Genomic DNA, 20,709 nt, shown 5'->3' with positions numbered 1-20,709 from the left:
TTATTTTAATTTATCTTTTTTTTTTTTTTGAAATGGAGTTTTGCTCGTTGCCCAGGCTGTAGTGCAATGGTGCGATCTCGGCTCATTGCAACCTCTGCCTCCTGGGTTCAAGTTCTCGTGACTCAGCCTCCCGAGTAGCTGCAATTACAGGCGCCCGCCACCACGCCCGGCTAATTTTTGTATTTTTAGAAGAGACAGGGTTTCACAATGTTGGCCAGGCTGGTCTCAAACTCCTGACCTCAGGTGATCCACCCACCTCTGCTTCCCAAAGTGCTGGGATTATAGGTATGAGCCACCGCGCCCGGCCAGTTAACTTATTTTAAATTGTAGTAAAATATCCATAATATTTACCATCTTTATCATTTTTAAGTGTAGCCCTGCCATATTTTAAGAAGGAACAACAGGAAACCTAGTAAAAACGACTCACATGAACAGCGGTACTATTCCCAGCACTGGTAAGGGCAGGGGTTAGTGCTGGGTTAGCCCTAGGACCATCGCATGGTCTTGGGGACAGGGCGGCCAGCACCAGCTAGCCTGGGAGGCAGCCCTCAAAGGCAGCCAGGGTCCCCCAGGGTTGGAGGAACTGGCAGTGCAATTCCAGGAGGGATAGCTGGCTTCCATATGGCGCCTTAAAGCCGGCAGGCAGCAAGGTCAAGTTGCAGGGTCAGGGTCAGCTGAGGTGAGTCAACAAGAAGCCCAAGGAGAGAAAGCCTGGGCGGCAGGGCCCAGGAATCCGTAACGTCCCACCTCAAGGATAACTGGAAGAGGACACCATCTTTTTGGAGAGCAATTTGCCACTGGGCATCAAAGCCCTTATGTGATGGTTATTAAAAATAATTTTTTAAAATTTGTTTTGTTGGCCGGGCATGGTGGCTCACGCCTGTAATCCCAGCACTTTGGGAGGCCGAGGCGGGGGGATCACGAGGTCATGAGATCGAGACCATCCTGGCTAACATGGTGAAACCCCATCTCTACTAAAAACACAAAAAATTAGCCAGGCGTGGTGGCGGGCGCCTGTAGTCCCAGCTACTCGGGAGGCTGAGGCAGGAGAATGGCGTGAACCCGGGAGGCAGAGGTTGCAGTGAGCCGAGATTGCGCCACTGCACTCTAGCCTGGGCGACAGAGCGAGACTCCGTCTCAAAAAAAAAAATTTGTTTGGTTTTGTTTTGAGACAGAGTCTCGCTCTATCACCAGGCTGGAGTGCAGTGGCATGATCTTGGGTCACTGCAACCTCCGCCTCATGGGTTCAAGCAATTCTCCTGCCTCAGCCTCCCGAGTAGCTGGGACTACAGGCACCCGCCACCATGCCCGGCTAATTTTTGTATTTTTAGTAGAGACGGGTTTTCACCATGTTGGCCAGGATGGTCTCGATCTCCTGACCTCGTGATCCACCCACCTCGGCCTCCCAAAGTGCTGGGATTACAGGCGTGAGCCACCGCAGCTGGCCCAATTTTTAAAATTTTATTATTTTTTTAGAGGTGGGGTTTTGCTAATGTTGCCCAGGCTGGCCTCACACTCCTGGCCTCAAGAGATCCTCCCACCTTGGCCTCCCACAGTGCCAGGATTATAAGCATAAGCCACCGTGCCTGGCCCGTAATGGTTATTTTTATGTGTCAATTTGGCTGGGCCATGGTGCCCAGATATTCGGTCAAATATTATTCTAGATGTTTCTGTGAAGTTCTTTTTTGGACAAGATGAACATTTAAATCAGTGGACTCTGAGTGAGGCAGATCACCCTCCGTAACATGAGTGCCCCCATCCAGTCAGCTGAAGGCCATAATAGAAAAAGACTGATATTCCCTGAGCAAGAAGGGGTTCTGCCAACTGATGGCCTTTGGACTTGAACGGCAACTCTCCCCTGACTCTCCAGCCTGCTGGTCTACCCCATCAGATTCTGCGCTTGCCAAGCCTCTCCAATCACATGAGCCAATTCCCTAAAATCAGCCTCTCTGTTTCCCTGGAGAGTCCTAACTAATACACCTTAAGCCTGTCCCCCTCTCCCTAGGACATGACTGTGAGGGGTGGGAATGAGCCTCCTCAGACCGGGGCTCCCTCTGCCTGGCCCCTCCCACTGGCACTGGAGAAAATAGCTGAGGCAGGAGAATCGCTTGAACCCGGGAGGCAGAGGTTGCAGTGAGCCAAGATCGTGCCACTGCACTCCAGCCTGGGTGACAGAGCGAGACTGTGTCTCAAAAAAAAAGAAAAAGAAACGACACATGAAGCCCCAGGAGGCCGAGGAGCTTGAGACGTGTCGCCAAGTGTGTGCCCATGGCATGGGAGCTGTGTGTGCGGCTGGGTCCTATCTGCTGTGTGTGCGGCTGGTTCCCATCTGCTGTGTGTGCGGCTGGTTCCTATCTGCCTTTATCTGCTGTATTCTGTTCTGGCCCGTTTCCCCACCTCTGCCCCTTTCTGGGTTTTCTTATAATCCAGATGAAATGTCCGCAGCAATAACTGAGAGCCGGTTATGAACCCTCTGGGCAGAGTCGCCTAGGGGCCCTGAATGCTTTTCTTTGGGCTTAATGCAAACAGAAGGGACACAGGATCCTCTGCTGGGTGATGCTTAGCAGCCGGATTATGACTCAGCAGCATTGCAAACACAGGGAAAGACTCAGCATCTCCCGAGGCATTTTATGGCTCTTCCCTCCCAACACAATGTTCCTATTGATACGCTGAGATCATATAAGGGCCAGGCTGCTCTAATAAACAATCGCCTACCTTGCAGAGCACCTCCCAACTTTCCCGTATATCACCCTTTACATTTTTTCCAGGACTCAGTCCCATGCGTTTCTGCGGCACGTGACTTCCCCTATGTCATAGGTGACTGCCGTCCTGGACTTCCTTTCCACATGGTTTCTCTGCTCTGCCCTAATCTGGCCTCATCTCAGGCCAGACCAGCGCCATTTCCTGGCCCTGGCTCCTGGCTGCCTCCAGGCTGCTGAGCTCACCATGCTGGGAGGATGGAGGGCCCTGAGGCCACCAGGGGCTCAGCTGACACTTACCAACAGCCGTCCACCCCACCTCCCACTGCATCCTTCCTAGAGCAGCTGGAGCATCCAATGATAGGGGCCCAGCCTCCTAGGTCAACACAGGCACTGCCTGAAGCAGCCCCCAAGGTGGTCAGGGTGCCTCACGGGGTGGGCTCTGCCAGGCCAAGGGGCAGCTCCCTGATGCTCTGCCGAGGGCCACTTTCTTTCTTTCTTTTTTTTTTTTGAAATGAAATCTTGCCCTGTTGTCCAGGCTGGAGTGCAATGGTGTGATCTCGGCTCACTGCAACCTCCACCTCCTGGGTTCAAATGATTCTCCTGCCTCAGCTTCCCGAGTAGCTGGGATTACAGGCATGCACCACCATGCCCGGCTAATTTTTGTATTTTTAGTAAAGACAGGGTTTCACCATGTTGGTCAGGCTGGTCTCAAACTCCTGGACCTCAGGTGATCCGCCCGCCTCGGCCTCCCAAAGTGCTGGGATTCCAGGCATGAGCATGTGTTGTTTCTTTAGCTGGATGCATGAATGTGCCATTGGGAGCTGCTGTCCATCCTCAGGGACAAACGTGAGGGGAAAGGCATACATGTAGACATATGTACAATCTCTTCTCATTTTAAAAAAGTCACAGCACTTGCAAAAGAATCACTTCTCATCTGTGGCAGGACAAGATTTTTGACATTTGCTTCTGATCCTGTCCTGGGCCTGAGTGCGAGGAGCTCCTCAGACAGAGCCACCTCCCTCACCTGTCCTCAGGCCACGTGGAGGTGAACTTCCAGGCACAAGCACCCCACACCTGGCTGGGGCTGCTCTTCTGGAGTGGCAGGGCCATGCTGAGAAGGACTGACAGGTGACAGTCAAGGCAGCCCTGCCATCACCTTCCTGCACATTCCGGGGTGCAACTCAGCCTCTGTGGTCTGGACTGACATACTTCTTGGGATGCACTTTGGCTCTTCGCAGGATAAATGCATTTGTTTCTTAATAAATACATCTTTAAAGCTGGTCAACATTCGTTTTATCCTGCTACTTAATCTAAGGAGTCTAAGAAGCTGACAAAGGAAAAGGAAAATTTCACCATGGGGGTTGGGGGAAGGCACCATGATTGTAGGGTCTGGGCTTTTTTTTTTTTTTTTTTTTTTTTTTTGAGACGGAGTCTTACTCTGTCGTCCAGGCTGGAGTGCAGTGGTGCGATCTCGGCTCACTGCAACCTCTGCTTCCCAGTTCAAGCGATTCTCCTGCCTCAGCCTCCCAAGTAGCTGGGACTACAAGCACGTGCCACCACGCCCAGCTAATTTTTGTATTTTTAGTAGAGACGGGGTTTCTCCATGTTGGCCAGGATGATCTTGATCTCTTGACCTCGTTGTCCGCCCGCCTTGGCCTCCCAAAGTGCTGGGATTACAGGCGTGAGCCACTGCGCCAGGCAGGTCTAGACTTTTATTCTCTAGCCTCCGAGAAAGTAATTTTACAGCAAGACAGTTGCTGGAAGTCACTGGCACAGAGCTTGAGTGGCCATTATCCTTAAAACACCTGAAAGCCGGGCTAAGTAAACAGTGCCATCATTCAGTCTACCACTGACCCAGACCTCTGCCCCAAGGGCTTCCTGGGCTAAGTAACAGTGCCATCATTCAGTCTACCACTGACCCCAGACCTCTGCCCCAAGGGCTTCCTGCCCATCCACCAATTCTTCTTCTGGGTATGAGACCTCACCTGAAAGAGCAAGAGAACAGAGCTCGGGGAAGTTGAGGGGACAAACGTTCCCCACCAAAGCCACATAGAGAACCACTCTTTCTCCCTTTCTCCTACTTGTTCATCAACAAGTACTCTAACCACCTAGGCCAGGTGCAGAAGCACAGCACAGATGCCCTGCACTCCTGGCACTCTGTGCACACTCCTGCATGCCCTGCATTCCCTGCACTCCTTGCACACTCCCTGCAGCCCTGCACTTCCTGAATACCTTGCACACTGTGCACACTCCCTGCAGCCCTGCATTCCCCGTATACCCAGCAGGCCCTGCACGCTCTCTGTGCCCTGCACACTGCGCTTGTCTCTGAGGCAGTGAGAGGCAGCCACATGACAACACAGTGGGGTCTCCGCCCCGTGGAGGGACTGTGGCTTCTGTGAGCCTGGCAGAAGGGCGTGACCCGCACTTTGGGGTCAGGCAGGAGGAAGGGATGCTTCAGTGAGACCTGAATTGGGGCTGAAGTCAGCCTGACAAGAGATGGCCACTTGTGATTTAGAATATTACAGCATTCTAGATGAGGTATACCATATACATATGAGGTATATATATATCTCTCATCTAGAATGCCGAAATATTCTAGATGACGTTGCCAGTGAGGGAGGAAGAGGAAGATGGAACAACTTGTACTTCTCCCTCCTTCCATCCTCTTCTTCCTCACACTGAACTCCCAGGCTTAAAATAAGAGCTGGCTTCAGTGACTGACACCAAGGGGAGGGCACCTCTGGGTTGGACCCTGAGGGGTCTTTGTGCTCAGTAGAATCTTGGGGGGCCAGCTAGGCAACGCTGCTTGATGTAATGAGGTCCCTCAGGGTCGGCTGCCTACCTACTGTGAAAACAGTTATTTCTGGGGAGAGAGGGCTGTCCCCAGTGGAGAGCCTCAGAAATGAACTCAGCATTTGCAGGAAGTAAAAAGAAGTGGCCTATACCGGAAGCGTAGGTTTGGCCTGGCTGAACCGCAGGGGAGGATCCAGTCTGGACTGGGGGCATGAGATAGCTCTAGCCCACTCCTCAGAGGTCTCTCATTTTGAGTCCCCATTTCAGGGGGATGCTGAGAGCCTGAGAACCCCTGGTCTAGCTGACAAGCTCCTCTTCAGCCACAGAAAGAGGGGAGGAGGCCCAGGTAGGGGAGGTAGGTCCCTGGGTCCCCAGGCAGGTTGGCAGTGGAACTGGAGGAGTCCAGAGGCTTGGCCCCTCCCCCAGTAATGCAGCCACCTTTGACCCCGTGCTTCTTAAAGATAGCTGGGACTGCCCCCACCCTTCCCTAGCCCAGGTCTTGAAGTCCTTCCCATCCTTCCCACAGTTCCGATTTCGGCTTCTAGCCCATCCCACCCAAGGAAGCTCAGCACACTTGTCTGCGCCCCCTTTCTCTTACATCCTCCTCCTGTCTGCCACTCCCCATTGATTTCTCTTCCTGCCTCTTTCTCTCTCCGATTTTCTCCACCAGTGGGTGCAGGTTCTGCTCAGTCTTCCTGCCTGTCCTCTCCGGGGGCCCCCAGAACTAAGCTGAGCCTGCTCCAGCCCCATATTTTACCGCAGGAGGTTGGCTTCCTTCATGGCCAGGAGGAAGTGGTGAGGGGCAGCTGGCATGCCTGGTGGTCAGGGACAGGCAGGGTCTGAGACCCAGGCCAGGCCCCTCTCCCTGAGCAGGTTTCTCCAGATCCAAAAGAAAGAGCTGGCGAGATTGGAAAGGTCCTTTCTAGACCCTAAAGAACCCCTAATAACCCACAGGGCCAGTCTGTGCTCACGTGGCACAGTGGAAGAGAGGACACTATTTTTTTTTTTCTTCTGCTCGGGGGTCCAGTTTTTTCTTTTCTTTTTTTTTTTTTAGTTTTTTGATTTTTTTTTTTTTTTTGAGACAGGGTCTCACTATGTTGCCCAGGCTAGTTTCAAACTCCTGGGCTCAAGCAATCCTCCTGCCTCAGCCTCCCAAAGTGTTGGGATTACAGGCGTGCGCCACCACGCCCCAGCCTGGAGGCCCAGTTTCTGTTTCAGGAAGTGACCTCTGAGCCAAACCATTTACTCACCTCCTTCTCCATCTTTCTGCCCTACAGCCCACTTCCTCCAAATGCAAAAAGCTGACAGGACACTGTCCCTAAGTCACCCCATCACCCAGCCCTGGACAAGTCCGCCTGGCAGTTTTGAAAACTAGTCCCATGGGCATGCTTCTGAGTGCTGTGTCCTTCCCGTCTGACTGATGGCTCTCAGGCAGCACAGCCCTCCGAGGTGGTCAGGAGTGGCGGCTGCACTCCGCTGGGAATCTTGACACTGCTCCTTAGCCTCCCCTGTCAGAGGCTGGGCCTCAGAGGAGCCTTCCAGGTCTCCTGGGTGCTCTGCATCCGGCGTGGGGCGCCCACTCCCAGAGCTCCGAGAGTCAGGTTCGAGGCCTTGTGATATCCCCCTTACCTGGTGGTCACTCCATTGCCTGGGTCCTGGGGCGCCTCCCTTGGCTGGCGGGGGGTCCCCGTGGGGGCTGGGCGAGGCTCTTCCTGGCGTCCTCTTGGGAGCCACTCTCCTGGCTTGGCGATGATGGCTGCTGGGGAGGAGGAGAGAAAGTTCAGTCCACATCTGCTCTGGAGCCCCTCTAAGGATGCCCTCTCGTGGGCTGGGTTGGAAAGCCAAGAAAAGCACGCACCCCAGGCCAGGCCCTGCGGGCTCCCTGGCGCCTGTGGCTTGGGATACTTGTTTACTCGTGCAGCCCGGGAACTTGCCAGGTAGCGGGGGATGGCAGGCACACTGCTGGTGGTGACAGGCACAGCCCAGGGAGGTTCAGATCACCCTGGCCGCTCAGCCTTCCTGGCACCCCTCAGCCTCTGGAAAGCCCTCAGAACAACAAATTGTCTCCCTGGGCCATGGCTAGGCGCCCCCAGACAGAATGTGGAGGCCCATTTGCTTATCTGAAACTCAAATGTAACTGGGTGGTGTGTAGTTTTATTTGCTAAAACCAACAACCTGAGAGGTAGGGTGCTCCTCACCGAGCAGCCCAAGGCTCCTTAATGCTGAACCACTCGGTACACCCAGGGTGGCCAGGAAGTGCCCTAACTCCCAGTGACTTGTGCTGTAGCTGATGCCCACCCAGAACCAGGCCACCCGGGACACGCAGGAGCCCTTCACGGGGAAGCAGACGGAGAATCCCAGATAGCATCATAGCATACGGAGGGCTCCCCAAGGGCCTGGGAACAGATGTTCCTGCATCTCAGATGCCACGCACCCCTTCCCCCACCCCGCCTCTCCTCTTCTCCTACAGCTGAAGGGGTCCATGTCACTGCTGCAGCGACACTGTGACAGAGGCTGCATCCGTGACTCCCTTAGGCCAAGCTCCTCTCAGCTCTTTCATTTTAGCAGCTCCTCTGTGGCTTTGCAATGTGATCTGTTTAATCTTAAATATAAAGGGATCTTCCCTGCAGGTTTCCCTGTAGCAAGGGGCTTTGACTTCCAGATAATTCTCTTTTGACCCAAACGAGAATCTATTTCTGATACCAGAACCCAGCGGGTGGCACTGGGCGGTCTCCACCTGGATCTGGGTCTAGAAATAGAGCTTCAGGACAGGAGGCACATGCTCAGTGTGCTTAGAATAAGGCCAGGAGAAAAAGCGTAGGTGTACAAGAGAATACTTGAGTGAAGTCACACCGAATTGCTGGGCTACACGCAGGGGAACCCCATTACAACGTGTGGAGTCACAAAGCTGTGCCCACGCCAGGCAAGTCCTCTAGGACCAGGACCAGGAGCTTCCCAGGGGGTGTGAGCGTAGGGGACGGGGTGGTCATAAAAAAGGAGGAACTGAGCTGGAGTGTCCCAAGACCATGAGGTGGTCTTGGTTCAACTGTCCCCTTCTCCTCTCCTACTTCCTCCAGCACAGGCCACACTGAAGACTTTCAGAGGTCCCACCAAGAACAAGAGACCAGCTGAGCACGGTGGCTCACGCCTGTAATCCCACCACTTTGGGAGGCTGGGGCAGGCAGATCACTTGAGGCCAGGAGTTTGAGACCAGCCTGGCCAACATGGTAAAACCCTGTCTCTACTAAAAATACAAAAATTAGCCGGGTATGGTAACACATGCCTGTAATCCCAGCTACTCAGGAGGCTGAGGCAGGGGAATCACTTGAACCCCGGGAGGCGGAGTTTGCAGTGAGCCAAGATCGCACCACTGCACTCCAGCCTGGGTGAGAGAGCGAGACTCCATCTCAAAAAAAAAAAAAAAAAAAAACAGGAGACCCCCCTAACTAAGACAGCCAGGAGCTAGGAGATGGGGCAGCCATGGGTGTGCACCGGGGTCTTCCTGGGACAGTAGTATCTCTTGCCTGCTGGTCCATTTCAGACAGGGCTGGGCATTTTAACTCCCAGGGCTATGAAGTCCCAAGGCATGTGATTTTGATATTGAAGATAGTCCTGGTTGGTGGGGAAATGAGAATAGCTTTCCTTAGGCCAACGTTCTGCAAAATGCTAAGCCATATTATTGGCCTTTTCCCTTGGGAACTATTTCCTGTTGGCATTTGGGGCTGTCTTTTGCCTAGAATGTACTTTCTGGGCCTGCACTCAACCGATCAAGCAGTTTGAGGGTCCAACAGGTTCCTCCTCATGAGTTTTCCCTGCGGTGCTGACTGAACGCAAAGCGCAAAGGCTCTTCCTCAAGAAACTCAGCGTGAAGGTGGGGGTTTCCACGGGGTCTCTGGGTGGGGCGTTAGTTCCCAGCACAGGCCAGACTCAGCAGCGAGCTGTGTGCAAGGAGACCTGTGGGGAGCGCTGCCTGGGGCCAGGATGGGCCTGGGGCAAGGTGAGTGAGAGAAGGGAAGTGGAGGGGGCCCCATGCCTGTAATCCCAGCACTTTGGGAGGCCGAGGCGGGAGGATCGCTTGAGCCCAAGGGTTCAAGACCAGCCTGGGCAGCACAGAGAGACACCTCTCTCTACAATCAATCAATCAATCAATCAATCAATCAATTGAAGTGGAGGGGAGGGATGGAGAAGCAGGACTGTCTGGAGGAAGTCAGAGCAAGCTCCTGAGCAGGGAAGGAATGAAGCAGAAGGCAACATGGCTCAGGGGTGCCCATGCCCAGCCCAGCACTGCCCACTCCCTGCTGTCCCTGCTGCTCATCCCCCTCCCCCTCATTCATACCCTGGCTTAATGGACTTAACCGCAGTCCCCCTATCTGCAAAGCCCAGATGGAGCACAGAAGCAGAGGGCTGTTTGCCATCCATCCCTTAGGCAGAGGCAGGTGACAGGACAGGGAGAGGGGCAGGGAGGCCAACTGGGGAGACGCAACAGGCCGTGGGCAGGCCTGTCTGAAAGAAGGTCAGAATGGAATCTACTCCAAGCGTGGCAAAGGCTTACTCATGACCCAGAGGAAACTGCACCTGGGGCTTGGTTTTTCCAAAGGAAGAACTTTTTGTCAAGTAAAAGGATTTTAAAGGAGACTAAGAGGGCCAGGCATGATGGCTCACGCCTGTAATCCCAGTGCTTTGGGAGGCTCAGGCAGGAGGATTACTTGAGACTAGGAGTTCAAGACCAGCCTAGGCAACAGCAAACTTCGTCTTTACAAAAAATAGAAAACCACTTTGCCTGGTATGGTGGTGCATCTGTAGTGCCAGCTACTCAGGAAGCTGATGCGGGAGGATCGCTTAGGAATGTGAGGCTGCAGTGAGCTATGACTGGCCACTGCACTCCAGCCTGGGGGACAGAGTGAGACCTTGTCTCAAAATAAAATAAAATAAAGTAAAATAAAATAAAATAAAAGGAGGACTAGGGGTGTTGGCCTGAGGCTCAGAGCGGGCCTGGCAGGGCCAGGGAGGGCAGTGACTATTCCTGGTCTCTGGCAGGTGGAGAAGGGCAGGGCTGCGTGGGTCCGTGTCCTGGGTCCCAGCCAGGCTGAGCCAATAGGAGCAGGCTTAAGGAAGGGACACTCAGAACACGGTCTCAGCATTTGGGGCAGGTTAATGGGGGCACTGACAGCGGGATTTGGGAAAAGCACTGCTCTGCCTCCAGCCGGTCCATCTGGGGGCTGGTGGGCAGCTGCTGCCTCCCTAGGAAGAAGCACTGGCAACCGCCCGTGACCACCAAGGCTGAGTGTCCTGGTGGGTGCCCACCCTGTTCATGCAAGAACCCGGAATGTGCCTGGGCCCAGACTTTGTCAGGGCTAAAGTAAACTGTTCTTGAAAACAACAATAACATCAACATTGCAGCAGCTGCTCCTTGGCCATTTCCATCCATGCCAACCTCAAGTGCCTCCGCCCTGCAGGTAACAGCATGACAGCTTCCCAAAGGCACGTCCAATCAGTGCAAAAATAAAGGGCCTCTCAGTGGTCATTTTGGTAAAGCAAGGATGTTACCGCTACGTTACCCTGAATGTACTGTGGAGCCTTTCAGGAAGTCCAGGCCTAAGAACTTGAAATGTTTTAACTCAATGGCATTCAGTCAAATTGGCAAAACTTTTCAGACGCCCCCTAAGACCTCCACCCTGGCAGCAGAAATCTCTGGATAAATTACTAAGCTGCTCACCTTTGGAGAGCATATTAATATTTACAGCTTTAGTAAAGCACATGTAAAATAACTGATGATCAACGCTGGCAAAACCTCTGAAACTGCTCATCACCAAGAGACCCAGGAGTTGCAAATAACCCAGCCAGTGCTGACTCGTCACTAGCTACCGCTCTGCACCTGGGCCTGGAAGCGTCTGAATCCAATTGTGAGCAGATGCAAGTTCTCAGATGTTTCTCAGACAGGAATCCAACCCGTTCCTCTGTTGTTTTTCCTACTCAAATGGAAATTAGAGTCTTATCTGAACTGCTCATAATCCTTTTAATTTCCTTTCAAAAATTAAAAAAAATACTTTGTACATTTCTGATTCAAAGTATATATATTTTTTCTGGCATCTAAAAAATACTTTTATCTCCCATCAGCCTCTGGTTAACTCAGCTGGAAGTTTCAAAGGCGTTTGGATCCCAGAGTTGTTTGTGCTCTTAGTTGCACATTTCTGCCTCCGTCCAGCCTTCCAGCAGGCGGCTGGCCTTCTCTGCACCAGAATCTGAGCTATCAGAATCAGGGTCACAGATCAACATCAGCCCGGCATTCCTCCTCCGAAATTTCACATTAAAGCCGGCTTTCACCAGTCAGAAATCTTGCCCCAGGAGCTCCCAGACGGGACAACAGGCAGTGCTCTGAGAAGGGGACGCAGAGGACCAGCCCAGCATGGGTCTGGCTGTGGGCTGGGAATCCCGTGAGCCTCTGTGACACGGGGCTGTTGCTGAGACCAGAGGGCTTCCCAGGAGCAGACGTGCGTCTGCCACTCCTGCTGCTGTTTTGCGTAGGTTCTAGACATCACAATCCCAGAACTGACCCAGTGTGCTGCCCACATTCTTACATGAAGAGGAGACGCAGGACTCCGGGGTGCTGGGCTTGCCCTCCCTGTAGACAGCCTCGTGAGCGGCTGGCAGGGCCTGCGGGTGGCCGTTTCTGGCGTGCTGGGCTGTCTGGGGAGGTGTGTGTTGGTCTTCCACCCTGGAGAAAAACATGAAAAACGGCAGTGAGTACAGCCAGCCAGGAGATTCGGACTGCCGACTGCCGACTGCAGCATCACAAATACAGGAGGGGGCGGTGCCTCAAAGTCTTGTTAAACCATCATTAGCATATCAGACCTTCTAAAGGGTCTTGGCAGGAGCCAGGAGGCTGACCCTGTGAGGCAGTAGCCTCCCCTTGTTCCTGTTAGCCCCCTTCTGTATTCACAGTGATACATGGCGTGGTGTATTCCTAACACACAATTACGTGTTACGACCCTGGGTGACATGGGACCATGACATTTCAAGCAAACAACGTAAGGCACGGATCTGCTGGTTTCTCCAAGGATGAAGCAGATGAATGAAGGGATGAATCCAACCAGAGAAGACATAACATGTCATGTCAGCCGTGGCAAGTGTTGGCCAAGAACGAGACTGCAGAACTTTCTTCTTTTTTTCTTAGAGACAGGGTCTCACTCTGTCGCCCAGGCTGGAGTGCCATGGTGCAACCACAGCTCACTTGTAGCCTTGACCTCCCAGGCTCAAGTGATCCTCCCATCTCAGCCTCTGGAGTAGCTGGGACTACAGATGGGCGCCTCCACACTCAACTGATTTTTTTATTTTTTGTAGAGACAAGGTCTCTCCATGTTGCTAGGACTGGTCTCGAACTCCTGGGCTCAAGCAATCCTCTCACCTTGGCCTCCCAAAGTGCTGGGATTACAGGTGTGAGCCACTGTGACTGGCCTAGAACTTACTTTCTTGTAACACTACCTAAAGGATGTGTGCAGAACAGCTCCTTTGCAGTGCCTAATGTTGGCACCCAAGCTGGGGGAGACACCTTCGCCCAGCAGACAAGTGCTGAGAGCTTCATTGCACCAGATCCAGCCAGTTGCAAGGGCCAGCTGGCTGGGACAGCCTCATTGGGTCAACCTTGACCACAGATCCCCGAGGAAGGCCCTCCAGTTATCTGTAAGGCAACGGAGCCCTCGCTCCCCCTTCAACAAGGAGATATGGGCCACCTAATCCAACAAGGGCTCAGTGGGGAACACACGACAAGCTCATGCCTGCCTAGGGCTGGACCCTGCAAATGGTTGTTTTTGAATGTCAATTTCATATGTCTGGCTAGGCGTGGTGGCTCATGCCTGTAATCCCAGCACTTTGGGAGGCCAAGGCGGGCAGATCACTTGAGGTCAGGAGTTTGAGACCAGCTTGGCCAACATGGTGAAACCCCGTCTCTACTAAAAATATAAAAATTAGTGGGACGTGGTGATGTATGCCTGTAGTCCCAGCTACTCAAGAGGCTGAGGCAGGAGAATCGCTTGAGCCAGGGAGGCGGAGGTTGTAGTGAGCCAAGATTGCGCCATTGCACTCCAGCCTGGGCAACAGAGTGAGACTCTGTCTCAAAAAAAAAAAAAAAAAAAAAAATTCACATGGCTCAACCCAAAGTCAAAGATAAGGAGACATGTAACCAGCCTGAGGGGGGCAGGAAAGTCTTCCCGAGGTGCGCAATCAGTCTTTTTTTTTTTTTTTTTTTTTTTAAATGGAGATGAGGTCTGTGTTGACTTGGCTGGTTTTGAACTGAGCTCAAGTGATCCTACCACCTTGGCCTCCCAAAGTCCTAGGATTACAGGCGTGAGCCACCACACTCCTAGCCAACTCAGTTTTGAACTCTTTTCTGAGTTTTGAACTCAGTTCTGCCAGGTGCCAGAAGAGGGAAGGTTTTCCAGCAGAAGTAACACCATGAGCAAGGTGAAGAGGGGAAAAAAATCTATATATCTATATATGGTGTGTGTGTGTGTGTGTGTGTGTGTGTGTGTGTGTATATATACATATATGCTGCATTGTTACAGAAAGATTTAAAACATCACAAAATATGGATGTCCCCTACCTCCCTCTCCTGAAAAGACCTGTGCGACAGTAGTGTGGAGGGGGCAGGGTGTCCTGGGGGGCTCTGATGCTTGTGGCAGGGGTGTCAATTGAGAAGCAGTCTGTAAGGCCTGGATTTAAACTTGATCCCCAAGTAATGGAGAACCAAAGGAATGACATTCCCTGCTAGAAACATCATTCCATCCACAGTCGTGGAAGGTGGCCGGTGGCAGGGAACACTGTTAGGAGGAACTCCCTGAGCCGTGAAGGCCAGTGGTGGGCAGGACGGGGTGGGAGGAGTGTGCAAACCTGCTGGACTCTGGCTTGGCTGTTTGCGGGCACTCATGCCATGCCCTGAAGCAGGGGACTTTGCTGCAGATCCAGGTTCTCTCTGCTGGGATTCCCTGGCCTTCCTGGTGTGGTTTTGCTTTTGTTCTTAGAATTGTCACTTTGTGGCCGGGTGCAGTGGCTCACACCTGTAATCCCAGCACTTTGGGAGGCCGAGACAGGCGGATCACGAGGTCAGGAGATCGAGACCATCCTAACACAGTGAAACCCCGTCTCTACTAAAAATACAAAAAAATAGCCGGGCGTGGTGGTAGGCGCCTGTAGTCCCAACTACTCGGGAAGCTGAGGCAGGAGAATGGCGTGAACTGGGAGATGGAGCTTGCAGTGAGCCGAGATCGTGCCACTGCACTCCAGCCTGGCTGACAGAGCGAGACTCTGTCTCAAAAAAAAAGAATTGTCACTTTGTGCAAATAGGATGGCTGCAGGACCTCCAAGCATAGCATCTCAAGCAACAGTCAAAGCCCAAAAGGGGAAAAGAAAGTACAGAGTTTCTCAAGCCCTTCATAAAAGTTGGAAAATCTTAGATCCCATGGCTGGAATGGATTGCATGCCCATTGAGATCATCATTGACAAGAGGAGTTAAATTTAAAGGTCTCTTGACCTTGTGATCTGCCCATCTTGGCCTCCCAAAGTGCTGGGATTACAGGCGTGAGCCATGGCGCCCGGCCAAATTTTTGTATTTTTAGTAGAGACGGGGATTCACCATCTTGGCCCAGGCTGGTGTGAGCCCCCGCGCCCGGCCTGGGAATGTAATTTCTAATTTTATGAATAATATTGCAACAAATAACCTTTTGTGTGTATATATGGTTATCTATTTATCTATATCTATGTCTACCTACCTACCTACCTATCTTCTATCCATCTATCTACCTACCTATCATCTATCTATCTATCTATCTATCTATCTATCTATCTATCTATCTATCCTGTGAACATCTGATTATTTCTCAGTATAAAATCCTAGCAGTGGGTGCGGTGGCTCACGCCTGTAATCCCAGCACTTTGGGAAGCCAAGGCGGGCGGATCACTTGAGGTCAGGAGTCCCAGATCAGCCTGGCCAACATGGTGAAAACCCGTCTCTACTAAAAAATAAATAAATAAAAAAATAAAATAAAATAAAATTAGCTGGGCGTGGTGGCAGGCGCCTGTAATCCCAGCTACTTGGGAGGCTGAGACAGGAGAAAGGAGAATCGCTTGAACCCAGGAGACCGAGGTTGCAAGAAGCTGAGATCGTACCATTGCACTCCAGCCTGGGCGACAGAGCAAGACTGTTAAAAAAAAAAATCCTAGCAGTGGAATTACTGGCTCCAAAAGTACTAGTGGCTGGGCTGGGCATAGTGGCTCACACCTGTAATCCCAGCACTTTGGAAGGCTGAGGTAGGAGGATTGCTTGAACTCAGGAGTTCAAGACTAGGCAACATAGTGAGACCCTATCTCTACAAAAAATTAAAAATTCAGCCAGATGTGGTGGCGCATGCCTGTGGTCCCAGCTGCTTGGGAGGCTGAGGTGGGAGGATGGTTTGAGCCCAGGAGGTCAAGCTGCAGTGAGCTGTGATTGTGCCGCTATACTCCAGCCGGGGTGACAGAGCGAGATGCTGTCTTAAAACAAAACCAAAAAAGTCCTGGTATTCTGAATGTGTGCAATACATACTGTCATTGTGTCCTCAAGAGGACTAAGATTCTAGATGTATCCACACTCCTGGCAACAGGATACCAGAGGGTGCTGGTGGTGAAGGGAGGGTCATAATTTTTTTTTGTTTTAGTTACGAATATTTATGTACTTACTGGTTCACCAAGCATATAATAACTCCAAATCAGTAAAAACGAATGTCAGAAATGGCAGCATGGCTATATAAATTATGGTATGTAAATATAATATAAATCATTAAATCATCTTTTACAGGATGTTCAACAATGCAAAAGAAAACAAACAAAAATCAAACTGCAAACAAACCATATATATATGTAGACACATACACAAACACTAAAAGGTTTCTCATTTGCTAAAAATATATGTAGGAAAAAACTATACTAAATGTAATACACTAAAATGATGATCATAATTCTCTCTGGCTGCTGGAATAAATAATTTTTATTTTCTTTATATTTACTTGTTCCATACATGTTTTGGACTACAAGTAACAAAAGTTCAACACCACTGGTTTAAACGGTAAGGGAAATGTAATATTCAACATAAACAGAATTCCAGAGGGAGCGAGTACAGGGTGGGGAATGCGAAGCTGAGTGACTTTGCTGCAGATCCAGGTTCTCTCTGCTGGGATTCCCTGGCCTTCCTGGTGTGGTTTTGCTTTTGTTCTTAGAATTGTCACTTTGTGGCCGGGTGCAGTGGCTCACACCTGTAATCCCAGCACTTTGGGAGGCCGAGACAGGCGGATCACGAGGTCAGGAGATCGAGACCATCCTAACACAGTGAAACCCCGTCTCTACTAAAAATACAAAAAAATAGCCGGGCGTGGTGGTAGGCGCCTGTAGTCCCAACTACTCGGGAAGCTGAGGCAGGAGAATGGCGTGAACTGGGAGATGGAGCTTGCAGTGAGCCGAGATCGTGCCACTGCACTCCAGCCTGGCTGACAGAGCGAGACTCTGTCTCAAAAAAAAAAAAAAAAAAAAAAAAAAAAAAGAATTGTCACTTTGTGCAAATAGGATGGCTGCAGGACCTCCAAGCATAGCATCTCAAGCAACAGTCAAAGCCCAAAAGGGGAAAAGAAAGTACAGAGTTTCTCAAGCCCTTCATAAAAGTTGGAAAATCTTAGATCCCATGGCTGGAATGGATTGCATGCCCATTGAGATCATCATTGACAAGAGGAGTTAAATTTAAAAAACTGGGCTAAATTAATCAAATCCAACCTCCAGGGCTGAGAAGGGTCCTGACCTTCCCTCAAGAACATGCCCACCATTGCCTTGAACATATGAAGTTTCTTTTTCTTTTTCTTTTTTTTTTTTTGAGACAAGGGTCTCACTTTGTTGCCCAGGCTGGAGAGCAGTGGCACAATCACAGCTCACTGCAGCCACGACCTCTGGGACTGAAGCAATGCTCCTGCCTCAACCTCCCAAAGTGCTAGGATTGCAGGTGTGAGCCACCATGCCTGGCCTCAGGTTTCTCCTAGCAAGGAAATGTATCAAACAAGACCTAAAGGACTGGAGAGTCATCCTGTACTTGCACACAGGATGGCTGTCTTCATTTTCTACTGCTGTTCTAACAAAGTACCGTAATATTTTTGTTTTAATTTTCAACTTTTAAGGCCAGGCACAGTGGCTCACACCTGTAATCCCAGCATTTTGGGAGGCTGAGGCAGGCAGATCGCCTGAGGTAAGGAGTTCAAGACCAGCCTGGCCAACATGGTGAAATCCCTTCTCTACAAAAAATTTAAAAATTAGCCAGGTGTGGTGGCGGGTGCCTGTAATCCCAGCTACTTGGGAGGCTGAGGCAGGAGAATCGCTTGAACCTGGGAGGCGGAGCTTGCAGTTGCCAAGACTGTGCCACTGCACTCCAGCCTGGGCAACAGAGCAAGACTTCCCCTCAATTTTTTTTTTTTTTTTAGATGTTTGTGGGTACAGTAGGTGTATATATGTATAGTATATGTGAATTGTTTTGATACAGGCATGCAATGTGTAAGAATCACATCATGGAGAATGGAGTACTCATCCCCTCAAGTATTCATCCTGTGTGTAAAAAAAATTCCAATCATACTCTTTTAGTTATTTTAAAATGTACAATTAAATTATTATTGACTATAGTCACTCTGTTGTGCTATCAAATACTAGGTCTTACTCATTTTTGTTTTAAGTTGGGGGTCTCACTCTGTTACCTAGGCTGGATTGCAGTGGTGTGATCTCAGCTCACTGCAACCTCCGTCTCCCAGGTTCAAGTGATTCTCCTGCCTCAGCCTCCCGAGGAGCTGGATTACAGGCACTCGCTACCGCACCTGGTTAATTTTTGTATTTTTAGTAGAGACAGGGTTTTACCACGTTGGCCAGGTTGGTCTCGAACTCCTGACCTTAAGTGATCTACCCGCCTCGGCCTCCCAAAGTGTTGAGATTACAGGCATGAGCCACCACGCCTGGCCCATTCTTTATGTGTTTTTTTGGCACCATTAACCTTCTCCAACTCCCCTAGCCACCACCCCCAACCAACCACCCTTCCCGGTCTCTAGTAACCATCCTTCTACTCTCTATCTCCATGAGCTCAATTGTTTAGATTGTTTAAGTAAGTGGGAACGTGTGATGTTTGACTTTCTGTGCCTGGCTTATTTCATGTAGCATAATGATCTCCAGTTCCATCCATGTTTTGCAAATGACTGGATCTCATTCTTTTGCACTGAATAGTACTCCATTGTGTATATGTACCACATTTTCTTTGTCCATTCATCTGCTGATGGACACTGAGGCTACTTCCAAATCTTGGCCCCTGTGAACGGTGCTGCAGCAAGCATGGGGTGCAGAGCTATCTTTGACACATGGACTTCCTTTCTGTTGGGTATATACCCAGCAGCGGGACTGCTGGATCATGTGGTAGCTCTATTTTTAGTTCTTTGAGGAATCTCCAAACTGTTCTCCATAGTGGCTGTACTAATTTACATTCTCACCAACAGTGTATGAGGGTTCCCTTTTCTCCACATCCTTGCCAGCATTTGTTATTGCCTGACTTTTGGAGATAAGCCGTTTTAACGGGGGTGAGAGGGTATCTCAGTGTAGTGTTGATTTGCATCTCTGATGATCAATGATGCTGAGCACCCTTTCATAAGCCTGTTTGTCATCTGTGTGTCTTCTTTTGAGAAATGTCTATTCAAATCTTTTGCCCATTTTTTAAATCCAACTATTAGACTTTTTCCTATAGAGTTGTTTGAGCTCCTTTTTAATTCTGATTATTAATCCTTTGTCAGATGGGTAGTTTGCAAATATTTTCTCCCATTCTGTGGGCTGTCTCTTCACTTTGTTGATTGTTTCCTTTGCTATAGAAGCTTTTTAACTTGATGTGATCCCATTTGTTCATTTTTGCTTTGGTTGCCTGTGCTTGTCAGGTATTACTCAAGAAATATTTGCCCAGAACAATGTCCTGGAGACATTCCCCAATGTTTTCCTGTAGTTGTTTCATAATTTGCAGTCTTACCACAAACTTAGTGACTGAAAACAACACAAACTTGTCTCATAATTATGGAGGTCAAGAGTTTACAATGGGTCAACAGGGGTGCATTCTTTCTGGAGGCTCCAGGAGAGAATTTATTTCCTTGCCTTTTCCAGTTTCTAGAGGGTGTCTGCATTCCTCGGCTCATGGCCTTGCGTCACTCAGACTTCTGACACAGTTGTCACACCTCCTTTTGTTTCTGACACTCCTGCTTCCCTTCAGTAAGGCCCCTTGTGATTACATTGGGTCCACCCAGATTATCCAGAATCATCCATCTCTAGATCCTTAACTTAATCACATCAGCAAAGTCCTTTTTGCCATGTAATGTCATTTAGTCACAGGTTGTGGGGATTGGGATGTGGACATCTTTGAGGGACCATTATTCTGTCTTAACATATAAAATTACTATGATGTAATGCTGCACAGTGACTTAACATTGCAAAGATTTCAATCATCTCCAAAACATTACATAAATTTAATGTGATACTAATCAAAATCCTAAAAGGATTTTTTAAGGAAGTTGCCAGACTTATTTTTAAATGCTTACAGAAAAATAAAGGTCTCTACATAGTTAAATCAACTCTGAAAGAGAAAGCCAAAGGCAGGCAGGGAGAGAGGATTTTTCTATGCAATATTTAGATATGCTAAGAACCTTTGCAATAAACACTGGTGTGGCAACAGGCAACTGGACAATGTGTCAAAATAGAGAGCTAGGGTGACTGGAGGGGATATAGAATTAAAGTGGCGCCTTGAATCAGTGGAGAAATAATGAGCTGTTTATAGGTGGTGTAGAGAAGAGTGGCTCTCTACATGGAGAAAAATAAGCTAGGATGCCTATCTTACATCACATATGGTAGTCTCTTATCTGTAGAGGATGATGTCTAAGACCCCCAGCATTCAAACTTTGTAGAGGTGAGCTCGAGATGCAAAGGACAGAACTACAAATTTTGCACATCAGCATCGTGTAGCCCGTCTGGAGTACCCAGTGTAGCTGGGGAGAGTGCCCACTGCATTCCATTGACCACCTCTTTCCCTACCACACAGCTTGGTCTGTGTGCTTCTGAGGGCAGGGAGTCACATCTTATTGATTTCTGCAACCCCAGCAATGAGAACACCATATGGCAGAGAAGTGATAAAAATGTT

The 20,709-nt window shown here is 50.1% G+C and overlaps 1 protein-coding gene and 1 non-coding gene across 3 annotated transcripts in view, besides 3 other annotated features; both read right to left on the bottom strand.

The window, feature by feature from the left end:
* The window catches only part of ARMC9 (armadillo repeat containing 9), a 178,218-nt gene that overhangs the window by 8,841 nt on the left and 148,668 nt on the right, over positions 1-20,709 (bottom strand). For both annotated transcript variants that reach the window (NM_001271466.4, NM_001352754.2), the window contains exons 22-23: positions 12,074-12,210; positions 7,125-7,254 (exon numbers count right to left, since the gene is read on the bottom strand). In NM_001271466.4, the coding sequence (NP_001258395.2) occupies positions 7,125-7,254; positions 12,074-12,210 (267 nt within the window). The remainder of the gene's footprint in view (positions 1-7,124; positions 7,255-12,073; positions 12,211-20,709) is intronic.
* Positions 5,215-5,300, bottom strand: MIR4777 (microRNA 4777). The gene has a single exon (NR_039937.1). It is a non-coding gene; the product is annotated as a microRNA 4777 (primary transcript).
* Positions 6,696-7,339: an enhancer, noted in NCBI's record as "H3K4me1 hESC enhancer chr2:232225381-232226023 (GRCh37/hg19 assembly coordinates)". NCBI's record gives its function as "activates a minimal SCP1, AML or CMV promoter by ChIP-STARR-seq in primed H9 embryonic stem cells {active_cell/tissue: H9 hESC(primed)}" and the evidence as "EXISTENCE:reporter gene assay evidence [ECO:0000049][PMID:30033119]".
* Positions 6,696-7,511: a biological region, named in NCBI's record as "Sharpr-MPRA regulatory region 9410".
* Positions 7,217-7,511: a silencer, noted in NCBI's record as "tiled region #9410; K562 Repressive non-DNase unmatched - State 13:Ctcf". NCBI's record gives its function as "represses a minimal TATA promoter and a strong SV40 promoter by Sharpr-MPRA in K562 cells {active_cell/tissue: K562}" and the evidence as "EXISTENCE:reporter gene assay evidence [ECO:0000049][PMID:27701403]".

Source organism: Homo sapiens, chromosome 2 (genome assembly GCF_000001405.40).
Source record: "Homo sapiens chromosome 2, GRCh38.p14 Primary Assembly".
NCBI classification, from domain to species: Eukaryota; Metazoa; Chordata; class Mammalia; order Primates; family Hominidae; genus Homo; species Homo sapiens.
This window is presented reverse-complemented; position numbering and strand designations above follow the sequence as displayed.